Raw genomic sequence first — 25,140 nt, 5'->3', positions numbered from 1 at the left:
CTTCTTTACTGCAGCCTCTTTTATCTGCATCCTTATGACCTGTACTTTGTGCCAATCTCCTGTCTCATTCTGTAACTGAGGATGTCTAACCTCCTGGGAATGCAGCCCAGAAAATCTTAGCCTTATTTTACCAAGCCCCTAGTCAAGATGGAGTTGCTCTGGTTCAAACACCTCTGACATAGGCATTCAAATGAAAGTTTCTCTGTGTTTTAGTCTATAGTGTGCAAGAGATAGCATAAGAAAACATAATGATATTTTAAAAAGAAAAATTTAGTCTTTGGGTCAATTGAAAATGAGTGCTTGATTGTTTATTTTGATTACATTTAAAAAGAAACACCAGTAATATGGCATCTATAGGAGGAACAGGTAAAAAAGTTAAATGAAGTTAACTGCTTTTCTGTTCAAATTGAAGCTTCACTACATAAAATCAATAATGTGAACTGATAAAAACAAATCAAAGGTTATTGGCAGAAAATACACAGGAAGCAATAAAATACCCACACAAACTGTGAATTAGCAAAGTAGAAGAAAATATTTTAGTATGCAGAAGAAAAAACAGTCTATATAGCATAGTGCAGAGATACCAGTTCAATAAAGGTGCTATTTTAGATGAGGAGGGGAAGACAATTGGACATTCTACCATTGTGATGCAAGTGCAAAGATCCAAGATGATTGTGACATTCTGAATCATGATTTGCTTTGTTTCTGTATTCTTGCTGTTCTTTTATGTTACAGGTACCAGCTGGTTCTTCTTATTTACTGTTTAAGACAGGAAATATACATGGTGAACCAATCCTAGACAAATAGTTTGCTGTCGCAGAAAGCTTGCAGTTAAGAGACATGAGCAAGTATAACAAATAACAAAACAAGGCATGAATATTGACTCCCCTGTGGCTTAAATACTTAAAGAGGCAGGGAAACTTCTTGGAAAATAGGGAGAGAAAAGTGATAAAATAATTAGTAAAATGTACGAAGGATTATTATTAATCCTTCCTTGTATCTCTGAATTATTTTATTGCACAAAATGCTGAGGGGTCATGTCACCTTGGCTAAAAATCTGTGTGTCTCTGAGTGTCAAAATCAAGCATAGGAAAATTAAAGAAGGGTGAGCAATAAACCTGTGAAAAATGTGTGGGTTGTTTGTAAAATTATAATAGGCAGTGATCTGATTAGATTAAAATCATGAAAAAGTATCTTATATTTCATTTTTAGTAAATAACTCATGACATTTACATTTTATAGATAGTGGATACCTTATATTTTATAGAAACATTTTGATACAATTTATAAATTCTTTTGGGACCTCTAAATTCTTTGTAGAGCTAGGTAGTCTTAATCTCAAAGATTATTAGAAAGACTAACTTAAAGAAGTGTATAAAATTTATCCTGAATGGTATCCCAATGATATTAAAGGATTTTTAAAGGGTAAAAATTAATCAAATTTGCATTTTAGAAAGATCATTGTGATAACACTAAGGTAGAAGTCAGTAGAATTAGGAGGATATGACTATAATCCAGTTAATAAGGGATGAGAGCTTGGAGAATGGCAGGAGACATAGCAAAAGTGAAAGGATTTCAAAAGATTTAGAAAGAGAATGGATAGGTCTTAGTAATTGATGAAGTCAGTCAGTAATTGAGAAAAAAGTTAATAGTTAACAATATCATATGTAGTTGTGCCATTTACTAGCATAAGGAATACAGAAAAAGGCACATATTTTGAAATTTTGTGTTGAGTTGCTTATGAGACATCCAAGTGAAATGTCCAAGAGGTATTGAATATGAAGATCAATAGAGAATTCCAAACTAAGTCCACAAGGGTTGGAAACAGCATATTCACATTCAGTCCGGAGTTATTAAATATGTGCAGTGTGACGTATGTACTGAGCTAGTTGCTGATGAGACAACAGTGAACAAGACATCTTTGCTCAAAGAATATAATTGGAAATTGATGCACTTGACACATTTGATTGAATCCACTAGTTGGGTGTAAATGCAACCTCAGTCACCTGTTTTGCAAATACTTAATTTGGAGCATCATGGAATTTGTTAAAAAAGTACTATTATAATCTCCTTTTTTGATAAATGTGTGTGTGTTTTTCTTCAGTGCAAAAGGAATATATACTCATTATAGAAGTTACAGATAAGCAAGATAAAATAACTTATTCACAGATATTTACAGTGTGCTTAATACATATCAGATATTGTGCTATGTGCTGACAATAAATTTCTTGTTTCTCTGTTCCAGCCAAAGAGAAATGTGCTTGCTTCCTATCATGCCGGAGTTTTCCATGTGTAGTAGACTCTTTCTTTTGTTCTTCTTCTCTACTTTAACCTTGTTTAATACTGTTTGCCCTTCCAGGTTCCACCTATGGGTTCCTTACTCTGGGATGCCTCCTTTGACTCATACCTTGCAGGCAGATGGAGTTATGTGCTTCCACGGTGTCTTACACTTATCCAGCTCTCGGCATATTTCCCAACATGTTGTAATTGCCCATTTGTTAACGCTAGGTGATTTGGCTAAAAATAATTTGGCCAAAAGCATATTGGTCAGCTTCAGAGTATATATAAAATGACACTTTGATTGAAAAATCAATATTTCATCACAGGATTTGGTTTTTCTCATTGATGATTTTGGCATATGTAAAGGTCATTTGCAACTCTTCATGATTCATACATTTTGCTCATTCTTTCACTAATTATTTCTGATTTTTTCATCTTTTAAATAATATTTCCTCATTTCTGGCCAACTTCCTACCTTGTAAACTTTGTGCAATTTAAAAATGTTGACATAACTTTTCAGATTAGTTCAAACAAAATTAATGATTAATTATAGTGACTGAGATGAAAAGCTGGAAAACTCTGCAGGTCTTAAAAGCCTCTGGAGACATACATTTCAGCAGATGACCTGAAGATCACCTTCTAGTACTTGACCTTCACTGTTAGAAGCTGTATTTCAGTGACAACTGTTCTCTGATTTGAACTTACTGTTGTCACTTACCTGGAGACATCAAAAAATAGAATTGCATGCTCAATAATTGATATTTATTAGTCTTTATTGTAAACACAATATTATAGAACATTTAACGTGTGATTTATTCATGCTAGAGCTATAAGATTATGTTTCATCTTTTAAATTTAGCTGAAAGATATAAGATCCCTTGGACAGAGAATCAAAAGAGCGTAAGAGCCAGTATTCCAAAGCCTCATGATCCCCAATCTATGTCTACAGTTCCAGGTTCAAAAGATGGGTCATCACTAGGAAAACTGGTTTGGCATTTTTGCTTGATTATAGAGTGGCCCTTTCTATAGGCTACATGATGACCTGGTTAGGTTTTATCCAATTATGTTGATCTCCACATTGCTCATTGTTTTTGATCCTTTACATCCACTCTGTGGGAAAAATTGTAAGAGGTAACATGGCTTTTTAAATGTCTAGAGTTCTTCAATTATGTCTATGTTGGCAACAAGCCTGTTGGAATCAAGGCATCATGGATTAAGCCAGAGTGATGTCACTTTCTGCCTTCCTGCAATGCCCTCCACTCTGAGCTTTATCACCGGCTACAGAGCTCTCGTCTGTGGCCGATCAACACACAGAGACCTGGTGACTGGCCAGTAGCCACAATGCATTTATTGTAGTTATGTGTATATTCCAGAACATCTGTAAAATCACTTCACATTTTATACAAACTACTTTGGGAACAATAGCGTCTTTGGGTTCTGAGTGTCTTTGCTTTTTAAAATTAAAACATTGATTGGAAACATAGACACTTGAGTTCTACATTGCACATTCAGAAGAAGACAAAACTAAGTACTTATTCAGTGTTTCAGGGTCTTCTTCAGACAGATAGTACCTGGAAGGCAGGACTGCTGTTTTATTCTATATCATGGGGAATAGACTAGTGCCTGGAGCTTCTGAAATGGAATTATTAACTTCTTCTTCTGTGCTCCTTTCTTTTAATAACACATTCATATCACCATATATTCATTAAACCAATAAATATTTTTTAAAACCTTAGAAAATGCCAAGCAGCATCCTAGATGGTAAAGGTGAGTAGTGAGCAAAACAGAGAAAGTTTTTTTCCTCATGGAGTTTATAGATTTTTTTAAATTCAGAAATAAACATTTATAGATGATGTTTTAATGCTTTATTATGGCATATGACTTTCACTCAAGTGTGGTTACTTAAAAGACAGGGACATTGTAAACTGTCATATTTCTCTTTATGGCCTGGATATCAAATATGCAATGATAACTCATCTGACCTCAGAGTATCCATTCTTTCAGTGTTTTACCTTAGGTGTGCAAAGAAGGTAGCTGGGAAGCCTTAGACTATACCTGTCATTCTCTTTGTTGATGTCACCAAGTATGTGACAACAAGTGGTTAGAATTAGGTAGCAATTGTTACTAAAGTAAAGCTTCTAATACTGAAGGTCAAGTGCTAGAAGATGACACTAAGGTCTCTTAGTGAGATGCATGTCTCACAATCACTGATAACAGAATGATGGAGACTTTGGCAAAGACTCTTACTTCTATAATCAGATCTCTATTTAGCACAGTGACTACTAGTAATGTTACTGTGGAAAGGTCTTAAGTTTCTTTTCTTCATCTTTTAGGTTATATTGGTTGGGACTGTTTAAATTCCCTTCAGTAATCCTCAATACTTTGATAATTTTTCTTGTTTGCTTATGATGGTGAGGATGAGAAAATTAGCCATATTCTGCTGAAGGAGCTATTTAATCTTTTGATTTTTTTCCCTGCATATACAAACTCTCCAGGTAGTAAAACTCTAGCTCATGACTCTGTAAAAAGTACAGTAAAAACCTACATTTGTCAGACTTTGCATTTTTATTCCCTGGTTCCTAATGAAAGGTGATGACCCAGTGCCTCCCTCGTCCCCAGTGTTTGAACGAAACTAGAGAAATAATGTCAGCTTTTTGAACTTACCCTATCCATGGTAGAAGGAAAAGAATGTATGGGAGGGGAAGATGGTCCTGATTATAAGGGATGTCTGGGACCAGATCCATGTAGCAACATTTCTCAATATACAGGACAAAAAGCCACTAAAAGACAAAATAATAGGAAGATGCAGACGACAAGTCATTCTACAGTTTTTGAGGTTCGTGATTATTTTGAGCTGAGACAGGCACAAGGGCAATATATCTGCTGGCAAGAACAGTAGGCTTTACCAAGTAGAAAAACGGCAGAAGTGTGGAGGTTGAGAAGTTCTGTTGTTCCACTCTAACCACCATGGTTGAGCAGGAAGAAGATGAGACCACTAACCAATTTTAAACATGAAAATGAAATCATAAAAATTATTCTTGAAGAAATCATAAAAATTATTCTTGAAATGAAATCATAAAAATTAGTCTTGCTTTAGAGTGGAGACCTGTCATGTGCTGGTAAATCTGTTGAAGTGTTTGCTGCTTTTTGTAGTATAGATATTTTCCCCGTGAGTGATTTTAAGTTACCTGTAGTTTGAAAATCCACTCAAAAAATCACTAAGCATTTAACGATTGGTTCTCATGAACCAGCAGGAACTGGCTTCAATATACCACTGGTTAGTAGATTTCTTTTGGTGTTACCCTTTGCTTTTTCATACGTCAAGTCCAGGGGCAGGTCATCCTGGTAGAAGGCTGTTGCCATAATTCAAACATTAGAATATGGATGAAGATGAACAAACTGATGGAATTCTAATGAGGATGGGGAAAGAAGTTTTTTGTCTAAAGGAAAAAGAGATTTACACTGAATGTGGTGAATTAGGGAGTGGAAAGATGCGAAGTGACTATAACCTTGGATATCAGGCTGGGGAGTGGTCCCATTCACCAAGATAGGGAAGACAGGAAGAATATTAGTTTATAAAGAGTGAGCTGGGTAATCAAATTCAATTTTGGATATGCTGAATTTGAGGTACATATAGAATCCCGAAGAGAGTTGTTCTAATATAGAATTGATGATTGTTAGCACAAAGTCCTTGATAACGGGAATAAGGATAGAATAAAGGACACACCTGGTGAACATTCTCTCATTGTAGGAGGAGGAAAGAAAGAAAGGGAAAAATGTGAGCCCTAATAGCTTTGTTATTGCCCTGAAAGGAAGTGGAAAGGGTTCTTTGCTGATGTTCCTAATTTACTCAGAAAAGTGGGAAGCACAGCCGTGTGTTGAGGCCGAAGCATAAGTAATATAGGAGCTGTGAGAAGACATTTGAAAATTTAGGGATATCTATTAAGGGAAATCATTAGAAGAAACAGCTGAAGGAAAGTTTCCTAGGGAGTATTAATGACCCAAATGAAATTAAGTTTGTAGTGGTTTTGATTCAATGTTTTAAACAGCTACATGCTTTTGTGGTAATCACATAATATTGTTAAAAATTCTCTTACTCAGGCTTTCCATTCATTTCAAATAGTCTAAGAACCAAATCATTGTATATTTCTAAAGCAAACATTTTATGGTGCTTCACTTCTAAAAGTTTTGTATATTATTCATTCATTTAATCCTAACAGTGATCCTGGGGGGCAGGCTTTATTATTTTTCCCATTTTAAAGATGAGGAAATGTAGTCTTGGAGCATTTGTGACTTTCCCAAGGTCACATGGTACAGCTGAGATTGCAACCACTTTCACTGGCTCCAGAGCTGGTGCTTTTACTTATTTCACACATTTCTTATAGATTTATATAGTATTTATAGGATTTTGTCATAAATATTATTTATTTTATTTTATTTTATTGCATTTTATCATTATGCAAACCAAATTAACAGAGTATAAAACAAAAAATGTAAAATCAAAGCAACAAATAATGAGTAATTTTATACAGTTTTACTTATCGATACTTGGGGAAATAAAGATTCAACACAGAAAACAAAATTATAGATAGCAAAGCCCTTAAAGAATGGAAGAAACATCTTGTATGACACTCTATGTGGAAGTTGTTTTACTCTTATCAGAAGTCGAGAAAAACTGTACATTTTCTTTGATACCAGCATAGAAGTCATTCCCTGGCAGTCATATACAACCATAGTATTTAAAAGATCTCTGCAGAATAATAATAACATGAATAAAATATCAGAATTATAGGAGAACACATAATAAAGACTATATATTAAGGACTGGACTTTCTGTAGCTTGAGATGTCTCTGAAATTGCTATGTCGGTTGTGTTACAAGGATGCGTTCAATCTAAGTTAAGCTAAGTGGCAAGAGAAAAGATGGGCAGTTCCCTAATGGCTCATGGCTGTAAGTTTTACTAATATCTAAGAACAAAGCATTTTATATCATGCATATTGTGGTCTCTTTATATAACCATATACTAACATTAAGATTTGTTACTTAGAAAATTGAGTTACAATGATTTTATTAATTCCAACTTATGAACTAAGAAAACATAACTCCAATATTTTTTTAACAAGACAAGAAGACAAACCTGACATTTACAGTTAAGGTTCTAGTGGACGGGGATAGCTGGTCAAGTAAATTGAATCCCTCACAGAATTTCTTCTTATCAAATCTGGTTCATGCATCTCCAAAAACATTACAATATCACCGCACCTTACATCATTTTGTAAGTTTTATTAATAATATATTTTAAATTATATCATCTTGGACTTAGTGAATGATTACCTACAAAACAGAGCTGTTGGTATCTCCAGCTATTTTGCTGTGATACCACTAAGTTTGCTGAGAGTCCATCAGCTTTAGTCTCACCACGATTTAAAAGCATTAATCCAAAGAGCATCATGCTTTTACAAAAGCCCTGTGGCATCCCAAACTCATTTATATTGTATTAGTGACTAATTCAGTAATATATAGCATTTTTGTTAATCTAATAACCTGAATAGTGAGTTTGAAATAACTATACGGTGCTTCTTTAAGGATGAAAATTTGGTACATTTCTGAAGAGTTTCTCTACTTCTATTTTCTCATCACGCTAACCCATAACACATGTCAATTTACTTTGATAACATCATTACTGTGTGTGTGACAAGGTGATGATTCAAAGCTGGGTGACACATAACAAATGTATTCAGTGAGTTCACTGTGTTGTAGTAAAGATATAGTTCATGAGGCAATCTAGAGTAGAAGTATATTAATTAAATACATATTTATCAGATATCTGCTAAGTGCCAGACTCGTATACACAGTGCAGTCATAGAGTAATGAAATAGTTAACCTTCAGAAAGTTAGCAAGTTAAAAAAAAAGATGACATCTGGACCAGGTGGTGCTACAATTAAGGAAGCAATACATACAAAGGTATAGAGATGTAAAATAGTGGAAGTTCAGCATATACAAGGGGTGTAGTATTGCTGAATTATGGAGTATGAAAAGCAGAAAATTCAGCAAGGAAAATATGAATTGTTATAAAATCTTCCTTAATTATGACTGTAATCACAAGCTACTGTTCTCATAACTTTAGGTGTTTCTCATTTCGTATCATCAATCCTGAATATTTCTACATGAAAGTAATGATTTTCTTAAAAAAAAATACTAGCCCACCTGTTCATCCTTACTTGTTTTTTTCACTTTATGCACTATTTTTTTTAATTTATTTTATTTTTTTGAGACCGAGTCTCCCTCTGTCGCCCAGGCTGTATTGAGAATGACATCATCAACATATTATACGGAAATATTAGGCAATGGGCAATTTTCTTCATATTTCATTATTTAGTATAATTCTTAATCAATAGATGAAAGTCTACAATAAACATGAAGGCAGTTTACCTACTCTTCATTTAAAACACTGCCTGGAGGTGACTGGTGTGCCAGACAGCCTGGAGACGCTGTATTGATAGCTGAGTCTCTAAGTAAATCAATGGATTCGTGCCTTGAAACCCATTCAAAAAGCATTTTTACCAATCCATTGAAGAATACTGAAGATAAAATTGTAATGGAAAAGCCTTCCGTGAGTGGGGTCATCCATTCTTGTGCTTTGTTTTTGCTTTCTAATACAAAAGGTAACTAATTCGTCTTAACAGGTCATCACTTTTTTAGTCTTCTTTCAGACTTATGCTCTCTTCTATGTGATCCTCTCTAAGAAGAAAGGCATTTGTTGATTTCACCTTACACAGCCAACTGCAAACTTGGAGTATCTTGGCTCAATCAACAAAACCTGCATTTTGCAAAACATTATCCCTGAATGATTTTATACAACGTTTCTTAAATTTTACCTTTCTTAATAGAGGAAAGTCTATTCATTGCTCCATAGGCATAACTTATATATTAGGATTATGCATGGCTATTTTTTTACTAACATAGATACACAATAATGACTCTTTGCCATCTTTTGAGTTCCTATAAATTATAGCATATTCTTTTGGTATTTTCATCTGTGTAACTACCCATTTCTCCTCCATCTTGATTGAGATGGGACAGTTATCTTTTGGGATTGGCCTCTGTCCAAATCTGGATAAAGACCCATTGTTTGGTTCAAAGACGAACTAAAGAGACTCACGGAGATTTAGACCAGGGCTGCTCATATACGTGAAAAACTTTTTTCTACTGAAGCTAGAAGGATGGCAAGCTGGAATTACTATAGCCATCTTGCTTTCATCTTTTGTTTATTTATTTACTCAACAAATATCTCTGCTACATCTACCATGTGCCAAGCATAGGCACTCAGAATACAGAAATGAACAAAATAGACAAAAGTTCTGGAAAATTACATGTATGGATCATCCTGAAAATGATTAACATGGTTAACCCACATAAATTAGAAGTGAGAAACTAGAGGATCTGGGTTTTGTCAACACTGTTTAGGTCCCAGAATCAAGCCTGGATGAAAAACTTCATACTGGCATAAAAAATTCTATTTCTCAAGCCAGTGTATTTTTTTCTTAAGCTGGTATGGGTTAAATATTCTGTCACTTGTGTTCAATGGTATCCCAATGAATACTCAAGCTTAACCTCATTTATACTATAAAAATTGTTATTTAATATTACTTGCATATTCTGTCCTGTTGTAAATTCTTATGTCCTCAGTTTTCTTCTTGCTATCACCGCCTTATATTTTCAGTTCATTTTGATGATCCTAAGAGCCCTATTGAAAAAATATAGGCATGGCATCATAATTTCCATTTATGGCTGAGAAAATTCAGAATAAAGTCCAGAAAATATAAATGTCATTTCTGTTCCTTATGCTAGGGACTTGTGATATAAATCAGGAAAGAGAACAGGCATGTATAGATGTAGTCACTTCTGATTATATAAACACATATATTCTACATTGATCAAAGGTATAATTTATAATTTACCATCAATCTGATATTTTTCTCTAAATTATTACTTGCAATGTGGACTCTTTAAGATTTACATGTTGTTTTAATGCTGTTTTTGGCACACTAATCATATTATTTAAGCAAAAGTAACATGTCATAATGAAGTAGTTTTAAACAGAAAATACAATTGTATAATGACGTTTTATGATTTCTACTTATAATATTCCCTTCATTTTTCATTAAAGCTATCTGGTTTTTGGTATGATATCATATTTTCATTCAATGTGGGAAACAAAAATATCCAAACTATAGATTAAAATATTTCTTATTTTGCTGGGTTATGCAATTAATGTACCGTGTTAAAAATACTTTTTTGCTTATTACAGACAATGAAAAAATATAGAAAAATATAAAGTAAATAAAAATCACCCCTAATTCTGCAATTAACTGATATTTTTATACATTTCTTTCCAGGATGTATTTAAATAAATAGATTAATTTATAGACATTTTTAAATGACTAATTTCTTACCTAAGGTATTAGATGCTGATTTTCATCACTTGCTCCTATGTTTTGAGCATCTTTTTATTCAATATTAAAAGAAAGATTTTAATAACTCATCATCATCCAACTTACAGCATAATTAATTCAAATGCTGCTTTATGGTGCAAATTTATATTGTTTCTAATTTTCATCATTTTAAACAACATTATAATCTGTTCTTTTATTTCATATTGTTTATCTGCACCTCTAATTATTCAATAAGAAAAAATTCTTGAAGTTTATTTTTAAAATGTGAAACAGAATCATTTATTTTAAATTTTTTTTGTTTATTAATCAGTATAACTCAGTTTCTTTCTCCACTTTTCCAGTGACATAGTTTCTTTATTGTTTTTTTGTAATCTCTGTATTATAGTTAAATTAAAAATTAACTCTTTGTCTCCCATAATCATTGCCAGTATTTCTCTAGATCTTTTGTTTTCAATCTCATTTAAGAGATTGTTGGCATAAAAATATTTGCTTTACATGCTGAAATCATTTTTATTATTTATTTTTCTTTGTGATTTTTTGCAATGTATTTTTGTTCAAAAAAGTATATGTCCATTCTTATATCATTTACATAATATTTAAATAAACTTGTAAATATCCTTTTAGAATATATGATAACAATTTGTAACTTAAGTTTCTTAATTAATGGGGAACTAGGTTTGAATTATTGTACAAGGCAATACTTGTGTTTTTCTTTGTTTTAATTTAAATACCTATTTTATCCAAATCATTTGTTGCTTAATTTGTATTTTCCTCACTGACTTTAATGATTTATTTATTGTATAATTATTTATATATAAGAACATGTATTTCTGCTATTTGTATTTTTGGGATCTATTTACAGATTTTTTTCTAGCACTATAGTGAATTAATTTTTATAGCTACATCTTAGCTAATATCTAATATATCTATATCACTTTTATTTTTATAATATTTTATATCTTTATATTTACAGATAAAATCATGTTTCATAAGCTCCATAATAATTCATTTATTATATTCATTTGACTTATTTTAATCTTATATGTCAGTGAAATTAGATTATTAAAAAAATTATACTTTTCCTGAAACATGAAGTGTATCTCTGTTCATTTGAATCTTCTGTAATATCTTTTATATATATAAATATATTCATACATGTATGTATTTACATTTCTTTTTTAAATTTCCCACATATTTTTCTTTCATATCAGTCAGCATGGAGTACAGCAAAAGTATTGCTCGTTAGATATTTCAAATATTAGGGAATTTTAAACATGATATTTGTTGCTTAGAGCATGATTAGAAGGGCTACATTAAACCTAAAACCATAAAAAACCCTAGAAGAAAACCTAGGCATTACCATTCAGGACATAGGCATGGGCAAGGACTTCATGTCTAAAACACCAAAAGCAATGGCAACAAAAGACAAAATTGACAAATGCGATCTAATTAAACTAAAGAGCTTCTGCACAGCAAAAGAAACTACCATCAGAGTGAACAGGCAACCCACAAAATGGGAGAAAATATTCACAACCTACTCATCTGACAAAGGGCTAATATCCAGAATCTACAATGAACTCAAAGAAATTTACAAGAAAAAAACAAACAACCCCATCAAAAAGTGGGCAAAGGATATGAACAGACACTTCTCAAAAGAAGACATTTATGCAGCCAAAAAACACATGAAAAAATGCTCACCATCACTGGCCATCAGAGAAATGCAAATCAAAACCACAATGAGATATCATCTCACACCAGTTAGAATGGCAATCATTAAAAAGTCAGGAAACAACAGGTGCTGGAGAGGATGTGGAGAAATAGGAACACTTTTACACTGTTGGTGGGACCGTAAACTAGTTCAACCATTGTGGAAGTCAGTGTGGCGATTCCTCAGGGACCTAGAACTAGAAATACCATTTGACCCAGGAATCTCATTACTGGGTATATACCCAAAGGACTATAAATCATGCTGCTATAAAGACACATGCACACATATGTTTATTGCGGCACTATTCACAATAGCAAAGACTTGGAACCAACCCAAATGCCCAACAATGATAGACTGGATTAAGAAAATGTGGCACATATACACCATGGAATACTATGCAGCCATAAAAAAGGATGAGTTCATGTCCTTTGTAGGGACATGGATGAAATTGGAAATCATCATTCTCAGTAAACTATCGCAAGAACAAAAAACCAAACACCACATATTCTCACTCATAGGTGGGAATTGAACAATGAGAACACATGGACACAGGAAGGGGAACATCACACTCTGGGGACTGTTGTGGGGTGAGTGGAGGAGGGAGGGATAGCATTGGGAGATATACCTAATGCTAGATGATGAGTTAGTGGGTGCAGCGCACCAGCATGTCACATGTATACATATGTAACTAACCTGCATATTGTGCACATGTACCCTAAAACTTCAAGTATAATAATAAAAAAAAAGGAGGGAGAATCAGGGGACACCTGTACCTCACTGATTTTGAGAACACTCCTATGTTTGTAACCCAGAGATCAGAAAACTACCATTGCTTTCTCTGCAACTATTCATGAATTTTTGGCTGGCTACTAGATGTGAAGCATGGCCACTGCAACTGTCTCTCAGTATTGGTGTGGTTATGACATTGCTTGCTGTCAGAAGGGCACCTGGAAGAGAGCTTCTGCTTAATTTCTGTCTTTCAAATTTGGGCAGCAATACCGTTCGTTACTAAAATCTATTTTGCATCCGAAAGTTTAGCTTCAATGTAGTCAAGTAAATGTCGATTTTAGGTTAGGAATATCTGCAAAATTGAAAGTGAGTGTCAAATCCATAAGGGCAATCTTAATGAGTGTTTTTTATTCCATCTTCTCACAAGTTACTGCTGATGTGTAGTAATTCCATTGTGTTTGAATGTTTCTTACAGTGTCTTTATTTCTAATTCAAATTTGTTTCATGCAACACTAGCCATAAAAACAAACATAATTTCCAGTTATAAAAATGATTATTTGTACAAAATATCTGAAAAAATTAGATTAATTTAGATAATTAAATTAATATTTCATTAATAAACATAATTTAGATTAATAATGCATGGGAAATTATACTATCAATAATGTCAGAAAAAAGTCAAAATGTAATTCTTGGTAAGTACTTATTTAATAATATTATTCTTTACTTCTTGACCTAAAAACTAGTAACTCATACTGTTGAATGTATAGTATATAACTGGATTTTTTGGTTCATTGTTTTCATATGCTGTGTTTTAATCTGGTTTATTTTACTATGAGTTTTGAAAGATATTAATAATGAATTTGAAAAAAAATTTCCCTACACATTTATTTCATAACTCAGAAACCAAATTATTTTTTAATTTTCAATGCAATAGATGCTGTCCATGTGACCAGGTTACATAAATTCTGCATCTGACAGTGATGTGACAAGAGAGGTAGAGAAAGATGGCCAAAATAGAAGGCTCCCTCTGTCATCCCCTCTACAAGAACACCAAATTTAACAACAATCTACACACAAAAAAGTACATTCATAAGAACTAAAAATCAGGTAAGCACTCACAGTATCTGGTTTTAACTTTATATCACTGAAGGAAGCACTGAAGAAGTTAGGAAAGACAGTTTTGATTTGCTGATGCCACCCCTCCTCCAACCCATCACAGTAGCTGTGGCATAGAGAGAAAATCTGTATGCTTGGAAGAGGGAGAGTGCATCAATTGTGAGACTTTGCTTAAACTCACTGCTGCCCTGTCATACCAGAAAGCAAAACTGTGCTGAACTCAGCTGATACTTGCCCACTGAGAGAGCATTTAAACTAGCTCTAACCAGAGGGGAATTGTCCATACTAATGGTCAGAACCTGAGTTCTGGCAAGCCTTACTTCCGTGGGCTAAAGGGCTCTTGGGCTCCAAATAAACTAGAGAGGCAGACTAGGCCATAATGACTGCGACTCCTAGGTAACTCCTAGTGCTAAAGCTGGCTCAAAGCCAGTGGACTAGGGGGGCATGCAACTTACTGAGGCAGCAGCTGGGGTGGCTAAGACAGTGCTTGTGCCACCCCTCACCCAACCCCAGGTGGCATAGCTCATGGCTTCAAAAGAGACACCCTCTTTCTGCTTTAGGAAAGGAGAGGGAAGAGCACAGAGGACTTTGTCTTGCTTATTGGATACCAGCTCAGCCACAGTAGGATAGAGCACCAGGTAGAGTCATGAGGCTCCCCTTTCTAGGCCCTGTCTCCCAGACAACATTTCCAGAAAGACACATCCTCTGCCAGAAGGGAATCTGCTGCCTTGAAGAGAAGGACTCAGTCCTGGAAGAACTCATCACCTGATGAATACAGAGTCCTTGGGCCCGGAATAACCGCAGTGATACTCAGGTAATATGTCATCAGCCTTTGGTGAGACTCTGAGACATGCTGACTTGAGATGAGACTCAGCATATTCCCAGAAGTGGTGCCTATGAAGAGACTCTGATTGAGAAAAGCAGAGGGAAAAGTAAAGAGAACTCTGAACATGGCCTTGCATCTTAGGTACCAGCTTGGCCACTGCGGGATAGAGAATCAAACGGGCTCTTCCAGTCTCTGATTCTAGGCCTAAGTTCTTGGATGGCATTTCTGGACCAGCCCTGGGACAGAGGCAGTCCAGTGCTCTGCTTTGAAGGGTTAGTGCCAGGCCAGTCAGCATTCAACATAAGCTGACTGAAGAGACCTTGGGCCTTAAGTGTACATTGTTGGCAGCCTGGCTGCACTCCCTATGGGCCTGTCATGATGGTAGCCATGGGATGAAGCTTTTCTGCCTGTGGAAAGGGGAGAGAAAAGTGGGAAGGAATGTATCTTGTGGTTTGACTGCCAATTCATCCACTGTATGATAAAACACCAGTTTGAGTTCTAAGGCTTTTGACTCCAGTCCTTGAGTCCCAGAAATTACCTTTAGACTTGCCTAGCATCTTGGGAGAACTCGCTGCCCTGAAGGGTAAAACACAAGCCTAGCTGGCTATGAAACCTGCTGATTGTAGAGCCCCAGGTGCTGACTGTAGTGCCCCAGGGCCTTGGAGAAACATACGCAGTAGGCACGCAGTTGTTACAGTAAGCCTTGGATAAAACCCAGTGCTGTACTGGCTTTAGGTCTGACCCAGAGCAGTCCCAGTGGTGATGGCCACAGTGGTGCTTGTGTCACTCTACTCCCAGCTTCAAGTATCTCAGAACAGAGAAAGAGGCTCTGTTTGGTAGAAAGTAATTGAAGAGAACAAGAGTTTCTGCCTGGCAATCCTGAGAATTCTTCTGGATCTTATCCAAGATCGGCAAGGCAGTACCTCTACAAGTCAACAAGAGTTTCGGCCTGGCAATCCAGAGAACTCTTCTGGATCTTATCCAAGATCGGCAAGGCAGTACCTCTACAAGTCTGCAAGAACCAAAGTGTTACTGACCTTGGGGTGCCCCTGATGCAGATATGGCTTAGATCACAACACCTAACTCCTTTTGAACATCTGAAAAGCCTTCCTGATATGGTTTGGCTATGTCCCCAACCCAAATCTCATCTTCAAATGTAACTCCCACAATTCCCATCTGTCATGGGAGGAACCTGGTGGGAGGTGATTTAATTATGGGAGTGGTTCTTTCCTGCACTGTTCTCGTGATAGTGAATGAGTCTCATGAGATCAAACGTTTTTTAAAACAAGAATTTCCCTGCACAAGCTCTCGGTTTTTGCCTGCTGCCATTCATGTAAGATGTGACTTGCCCCTCCTTGCCTTCTGCCATGAGTGTGAGGCTTCCCAAGCCATGTGGAACTGTAAGTCCATTAAACCTCTTTCTTTTGTAAATTGCCCAGTCTTGGGTATGTCTTGTTTTTTTTTTTTTTTTGTTTTTTTCTGAGATGGAGTCTTGCTATGTTGCCCAGACTGGAGTGCAATAGTATGGTCTTGGCTCACTGCAACCTCCGCCTCCTGGATTCAAGTGATTCTCCTGCCTCAGCCTCTCAAGTAGCTGGGACAACAGGTGTGTGCCACCACACCCAGCTAATTTTTGTATGTTTAGTAGTGACGTGGTTTCACTATGTTGACCAGGCTGGTCTGGAACTCCCGATCTCATGATCTGCCTGCCTCTGCCTCCCAAAGTGCTGGGATTACAGTCATGAGCCACCACACTGGCCTGGGTATGTCTTTGTCAGCAGCATGAAAATGGACTAATATACTTCCTGAGAAAACGGGTACAAACAAGCCCCGGCTACAAAGACTACCTTAAATCCCTAACTCTTCAATGCCTAGACACAGACAAACATCTACAAGTATCAAGGCAACCCAGGAAGACAGGACTTCACCAAATGAGCTAAATTAGGCACCAAGGAACAATCCTAGAGAAGCAGAGATATGTCACCTTTCAGGCAGAGAATTCAAACTAGCTGTTTTGAGGAAACTTAAAGAAATGAAAGATCACACAAAGAAGGAATTCCAAATTCTATCAGGTAAATTTAAGAAAGAGATTAAAATAATTAAAAAGTATCAAGCAGAAATCCTGGAGTTAAAAATGCACTTGACATACTGAAGAACGTATCATAGTCTTTTAATAGCAGAATTAATCAAGCAGAAGAAAGAATTAGTAAGCCTGCATACAAGCTATTTGAAAATACATAGAGAAGAAAGAAGAAAAAAGAATAAAAAAAGGAAGCATGCCTACAGGATCAAGAAAATAGCTTCAAAAGGGCAAATCTAATAGTTACTGATATTAAAGAAGAGGTAGAGAAGGAGTTGGGGTAGAAAGTTTATGCAAAGGGGTAACAATGAAGAACTTATCAAAACTAGAGAAAGATATCAATATATAAGTACAAGAAGTTTATAACACCAAGCAGATTTAACCCAAAGACAACTACCTTAAGACATTTAATAATTGAACTCCCAAATGACAATGATAAAGAAAGGATCCCAAAAGCAGCAAGAAGAAACAAACAAATAACATATAATGGAGCTCTAATTTGTCTGGCAGCGGACTTTTCAGTGGACACCTTACAGGCCAGCAGAGAGAGAGGCATAACATATTTAAATTGCTTAAGGTAAAAAAAAAGAAAAATCCCAAAAGACAAAAAGCATCTTTTATTCTAGAAGAGTTATCTGGCAAAAATATACTTTACTTTAAGCATGAAAGAGAAATAAAGACTTTCCCAGACAAACAGAAGCTGAGAGATTTCATCAACACCAGACTTGTCCTATAAGAAATGCTAAAAGGAGTTATTTAACCTGAAAGAAAAGGACATTAGTGAGCACTAAGAAATCATTTAAAGGTACAAAACTCACAGGTAATTGTAATCACAGAGAAAAACACAGAATATTATAACACTGTAATTATGGTGTGTAAACTACTCTTCTCTTAAGTAGAAAGACTAAACAATGAACCAATCAAAAATAATAACTACAGCAACTTTTTATGACATAAACAGTACAGTAAGACATAAAGAAAAATAACACAAACTTAAAAAGTGGGGCACAGGCCAGGCACGGTGGCTCGTGCCTGTAATCCCAGCACTTTGGGAGGCCGAGGTGGGCGGATCATGAGGTCAGGAGAACGAGACCATCCTGGCTAACATGGTGAAAACCTGTCTCTACTAAAAATACAAAGAAATTAGTTGGGCGTGGTGGCAGGCCCCTGTAGTCCCAGCTACTCGGGAGGCTGAGGCAGGAGAATGGCGTGAACTCAGGAGGCGGAGCTTGCAGTGAGCCGAGATCGCACCACTGCACTCCAGCTTGGGTGACAGAGCGAGACTCCATCTCAAAAATCAACTGGGCCACACAGTTAAAGCGTAGAATTTTCATTACCTTTTTTTTGCTTATTTGTTTATGCAATCAGTGTTATCATCAGTTTAAAATAATGAGTTACAAGATAATATTTGCAAGCCTCATCATAACCTCAAAAAATACAACACATACACAAAAACAGCATGAAATTAGATTAAACCACCAGAAAAAAATTACCTTCACTATAAGAAAACACAAAGAAAGGAAAGAAGGTAGAAAAGACCACAGAGCAATCAGAAAACAAATAAAAAAATAGCAGGATTAAGGCCTTACTTATCAATAATAACGTTGAATGTAAATAGACTAAATTCTAATCAAAAGACATAAAACAGCTGAATAGATAAAAAAAAAAAAAAACAGGACCAAATGATCTGTTGCCTACAAGAAACACACTTTACCTATAAGGATACATTTAGTCTGAAAATAAGGGATTGGAAAAAATATTCCATGCCAATGGTAACAAGAAAAGAACAGGAGTAGCTATATTTACATCAGACAAAATAGATTTCAAGACAAAGACTGTAAGAAGAGATAAAGAAGATCACTATATAATTCTAAAGGGGATAATTCAGCAAGAGAACACAGCAATTGTTAATAAATATGCACCTAACACTGGAACTCCCAGATATATAATGCAAATATTAGAAATAAAGAGAGAAATAGACCTCAACACAATAATACCTGAAGACATCAACACCCTACTTTCAGCATTGGGCAGATTTTTCAAACAGAAAATCAACAAAGAAACATTGGGCTTAATTTGCATTATAGACCAAAAGGACCAAATAGATATGTACAGAACATTTCATCTTACAGCTGCAGAATACACATTCTTCTCCTCAGCATATGGATCATACTGAAGGATAAACCACATGTTAGGTCACAAAATGCCTTAAAATATTCAAAAAATTGAAATAATGTCAAGCTTCTTCTGTGACAGCAATAAAAAAGCCTAGAAATCAATAATAACAGGAATTTTTGAAATTATACAAATGCAAGGAAACTAAACATAATGCTTCTGAGTAACCAGTGAGTCAGTGACAAAATTAAGAAGGAAGTTAAAATTTCTTGAAACAAAGGATAATGGAAACACTGCATACCAACACCTATGGCAATACAGCAAAAGCAATACTAAGAGGAAAACTTATAGCTATAAGTGTCTACATCAAAAATGAAGAACAATCACAAATTAATAAACTAATAATGAATGTTAAAGAATTAGAAAAGCAAGAGCAAACTAAACCCAATATTAGTAGAAGAAATAATAAAGATCAGAGCAGGAATAAAAGAAATTGAAACAAAGTAAACAATACAAAAGATCAGTGAAATGAAAAGCCAGTTTTTTGAAAAGATAAACAAAATTAACAAAGCTATAGCCAGGCTAATAAAAGAGAGAGAGAGAAGACCCAAATAAAATCAGAGATAAAAAAGAAGACATCACAAGTCATACCACAGAAATTTAAAGGATCATTACTTGCTACTATGAGCAACAATATAACAATAAATTGGAAATTCTAGAAGAAATGGAAAATTCCTACACATACAACCTATGAAGGTTGAACCATAAAGACATCCAAAACTTGAACAGACCAATAACAAGTAACAAAATCAAAGCCATAGTAAAAGTCTCCTAGTAATGTAAAGCCTGGGACCCATTGTCTCCACTACTGAATTCTACCAAACATTTAAAGAAGAGCTAATAGCAATCTTACTCAAACTATTACGAAAAAATAGCAGAGGAGGTATGCATCCAAACTCATTCTGTGAGGCCAGTAATACCCTGTTACCAAAAACGGACAAAGACATGTCAGAAAAACCAAATTACAGGCCAATATCTCTGATGAACATTGATGCAAAAATGCTCAGTAAGATAAAAGCAAACCAAATTCAACAATACATTAAAAAGATAATAAATCATGATGAAGTGCGTTTTATCCCAGGGATGCAAGGATGGTTCAACATACACAAATCCATCAGTGTGATACGTCATATCAACAGACATGAAAAAAGACATGAAGTCATCAGACATGAAAAAAGGAGTAAACAGCATCAAATTGTAAAGGAATAAATCAAATATCCTCATTTGTAGATGATATGATCTTATATTTTGCAAAACCTAAAGACTCTACCAAAAAACTATTAGAACTGAGAAATTTTGCAAAGTTGAAGGACACAAAATACAAAAATTTGTAGCATTTCTATATGTCAACACTGATCAATCTGGAAAAGAAACTATACAATAGCCACGAATAAAATTAAATACCAAGGAATTAACTTATCAAAGAAGTGAAATACTTCGATAATGAAAACTATAAAACACTGATGAAAGAAATTAAAGAGGACACAAGAAAATGGAAAGCTATTCCATGTTCATATGTTGAAAAAAATTAATATTGTTATACTGTCTATACTACCCAAAGCAATCTACAGATTCAATGCAACCCCTATCAAAATAACAATGACATTTTTCACAGAAATAAAAAGACAATTCTAAAATTTATAAGGAACCATGAAAGATCCAGAATATCCAAAGCTATTCTGAGCAAAAAGAACAAAACTGGAGGGATCATATTACCTGACTTCAAACTATACTACATAGCCATAGTAATCAGAACAGCATGGTACTGGCATAAAAATGGATACATACACCAATGGAACAGAATGGAGAACCCTGAAACAAATCTGTACATCTACAGTGAACTCATTTTTGACAAAGCTGCCAAGAACATGTATTGAAAGAAGACTGTCCCTTCAATAAATGGTACTGGAAAAACTGGATATCTACATACAGAAGAATGAATCCAGATCACTATCTCTTGCCATATACAAAAATCAAATCAAAGTGGCTTAAAGACTTAAATCTAAGACCTCAAACCGAAACTACTACAAGAAAACATTCAGGAAACTATCCAGAACATTGGCCTGGGCAAAGATTTCTTGAGTAACATTCCACAAGGACAGGCAATCAAAGCAAAAGTGGGCAAATGGGATCACATCAAGTTAAAAAGCTTTCTGCACAACAAAGTAAACAATTGACAAAGTAAAGAGACAACCCACAGAATGGGAGAAAATATTAGCAAACCACCCAGCTGACAAGGGATTAGTAACCAGAATACATAAAGAGTTCAAACTGATAGGAAAAAAACTGATAATCTGCTTTAAAGTTGGGCAAAATATCTGAATAGACATTTCTCAAAATAAGACATATGAATAGCAAACAGGCATTTGAAAACATGCTCAACCTTGTTGCTTATCAGAGAAATGCAAATCAAAACTACAGTGAGATATCATCTCACCCCAGTTAGAAGTCTTTTATCCAATACAGTCAATAACAAATGCTGGTGAGGATGTGGAGAGAAGGTAACCCTCATAAACTGCTGGTGGGAGATATCTGCACTCCCATGTTTATTGCAGCACTATTCTTAATAGCCATGATTTGGAAACAACTTAAGTGTCCATCAACATATTAACGGATAAAGAAAATGTAGTACCTGTACACAATGGGGTACTATTTAGCCATAAAAAAATAAGATCTTGTCATTTGCAACAGCATGATGTCATTATGTTAAATAAACAGCTGGGCATAGAAAGACAAACTTCTCATGTTCTCACTTATTTGTGGGAACTAAAAAATTAAAACAATTGTACTCATGGAGATAGAGAGTATAAAAATGGATGGTTAGCAGAGGCTGGGAAGGGTAGTGGGAGGTTGGGAGAAAGTGGGGATGGGTAGAAAAAATTGTTAGAAAGAATGAATAAAACCCAATATTTTCTAGCACAACAGGGTGACTATAGTAAAAAAAAATGTAATTGGATTGTTTGTAACATAAATGATAGTGCTTGAGGGGGTATATACCCCATTTAACTTGATGTGATTACTGTGCATTGTATGTCTGTATCAAAATATCTTATGTAACCTATAAATATATAGAACCCCTATGTACCCACAAAAATTAAAAATAAAAAAAACTTAAAAATTTTTAAAAAGGAAATTTTATGATTTGGCCTGTAGACTACTTACTTAGGTAAATGTTAAAATGTTTTGGAATTAATGTTTTGTTAATTTTAAAATAGGAAACTCAGTTTTAATACATTTTATTTATTAGAATGCTTTCATTTTCCAAGCTACCATAAAACAGTTAGAAAAAGACATTACAAAAGAGCACTGATGCTATCACTTTCATAGGTCTATATTAAAAAAATACATTGAGTGTTAAAAAAATGCATTCCATCTTGATTTTTATTATTGACCATTCTTGTACTGTGGTTGATGTGATGGGAGAGGGAATTTAGAACCTGTTGTTACTGGTAATTTCACTTGTTCTCTGTTACAACCCTGCTTTAGTTTGCACTATAGTCAACAAAAAATACAATGATGGCATGAACTATCAACTGAAGATAAATTCATTCCTTTTATGGAAATGTCTTTCTTTGTTTTTAGGGTGTCATTTTATTTTGTAATGTTTGTGTGAGTAATGCTGGCAATATTTAGGTACTGTTCAGCATTCTCCACAATTTCAGTATAATTCAGTACAACATCCTTATACACAGGAATATTTGATGAGGTTTGATGATTTAGTATTTTTAATTTTACTATCAGATAGAAAAGTTTGCTAGTGTAAGATTTCTAATTTATTAAGGATGTGCTTCAAAACATATTATCTTTATTATATATTATGTCTAGATATTTTTATATATGTAGTTGGTGTATGAATCCATAATGATAATCCTTTATCACAGGCATTGCCTTTATTTATGATCAGGCCTATTCTCTTCTTCTTAACCAGCAATCCTCTTTTCTGTTTATTTTGGTCTTCTCTGGGTCAAATGCTCTGGTAGCTTCAAGTAACAATACCACAAAAAAACAGGATGTGCGGAGTTCAAAAGTAAATTAAAGTTAAAGTTTATAAATCAAATCCCTACCCAAATACCTTCCTCATAACTGTTTTGTTTTTCCCTTTTTCCCTTTTGTGTGCACCCTCTGAATTTGAAGAAAACTGTATACATGTCGATTTGTGACTCCAAATGTTAGAACTTTCTGTAGATATAGTAGCTAAAGTTCACTCAGTGGTATTATGTTTGTAATAGAGAGAAAACTGAGCTGGGAACCAGGAAATTGGATTTCTAGCCTCCTCTGATGTGTTGAACTGAAAGGAGCTGTGTTTTCTTTTCTACTTCTTGCACTGAAAAGACAGTTAGAGCTGGAGGGAGAATACAGTTGAGATTAATACTATGATTGAATATGACAATTATATACAAGTTGAAGACAAAGAGATTTCCTAAAGTGGAAGAAAACTGTAGCATCGGGCATCATGATGGGAAGTATAAATGGCACCCTAGAGGTTTCCTATGTGTATAGAAAACAACTAAATAATACACTTACTATAAACCTGTTCCAACTTCTGGAAAACCAACTGATTTTGGCAAAAGCCAACTATTTAAAAGACTAAAGCTTTAAGGTAGATCTCTATGTTAAAATCATAGCTTGATATATACCTATGCTGTCATATATATATTAATATGATGAAAAGATTTATATTAATCATTTTGGTATTTACTGAAAATCCAATAACTGAAGCATTAGTCTAGGAGCCAGAAATACAGTACTGAAGAAAACAGGAAAAAAATCGAATATTGCTTATCTCATAGAATTTAAAATTTAATGGATTTCAAGTACCAAATATTAAGGTTGCCAGGGTCAAAATTCCTGGGTCTCTGCACATTAAACATTCAATAGAATAATGGGCAAATGACTGGAATATTCACATCACAATAGATATACAAATGGCCAATCAACACATGAAAACAAGCTCATCTTTATTACACATCATAGATATAAATATTAAATAGTAATACAACTCCCCAATCCCCGGACTTCCTAAGATGAAAAAGATGGAAGGGGAAAAAACCCACAGTGTTTGAAAGGGATTAGAGAGACCAACATTGCTAGTGAGAGTGGAAATGGCTACAACTACATTGGAAAACTGTTTGGCAGTACTTATCAAAGGTGAATGTACACACACTCTAAGAACCAGGAATTCTGCTATGAGGCATTTACATGACATAAATGCATACAGATGTTCAGCAGAAAGCATGAATCTCATGTTCATATGAGCAATATTAGTAACTGACAGAAACTGGAAAATAGCAAAATATGTATAAGGAATAGATGGAAAAAGATAAATTGTGGCATTACACAATGGAATACATCTTACAAACATAAAAGAGAGCAAAAGCAGCCAGGCACAAAAAAGACAGGACTGCCTGAGGCCAGAAGTTTGAGACCAGCTTTGGAAATATAGTGAGATCCATCTCTACAAAAACAAAATACAAATATTAGCCAGGCATGGTGGTATACATCTGTAGTCTTATCTCCTTGGGAGGCTGAGGTGGGGGATCGTTGACCCCAGGAGTTCGAGGCTGCAGTGAGCTCACTGCATTCCACCATGGGTAACAGAGTGAGACCTGGTCCTGGTCTCAAAAAAAAAAAAAAAAAAAAAAGAAGAAGAAGAAGAAGAAAAGAGAGAACTCCCTATATTATATTAATCGTATCAAGATAAATAATCAAATGTACATAAATATCTAGATTCTTTGGATGAAAGACCTTACCTATAGGGTCTTGATA

General features: G+C 34.8%; 1 long non-coding RNA gene and 1 pseudogene across 1 annotated transcript in view; both read right to left on the bottom strand.

Annotated features, from left to right (window-relative positions):
- LINC02496 (long intergenic non-protein coding RNA 2496) overlaps nucleotides 1–25,140 on the bottom strand; it is a 45,534-nt gene that overhangs the window by 7,008 nt on the left and 13,386 nt on the right. Inside the window, exon 2 of the long non-coding RNA NR_183857.1 lies at nucleotides 641–759. This is a non-coding gene — a long non-coding RNA (long intergenic non-protein coding RNA 2496). The remainder of the gene's footprint in view (nucleotides 1–640; nucleotides 760–25,140) is intronic.
- Nucleotides 4,397–4,940, bottom strand: LOC100421808 (protein phosphatase 2 regulatory subunit Bgamma pseudogene; annotated as a pseudogene).

This window comes from Homo sapiens, chromosome 4, assembly GCF_000001405.40.
Source record: "Homo sapiens chromosome 4, GRCh38.p14 Primary Assembly".
Classification (NCBI taxonomy): domain Eukaryota; kingdom Metazoa; phylum Chordata; class Mammalia; order Primates; family Hominidae; genus Homo; species Homo sapiens.
The sequence above is the reverse complement of the archived record's forward strand: the minus strand, read 5'-3'. Positions and strand labels throughout refer to the sequence as shown.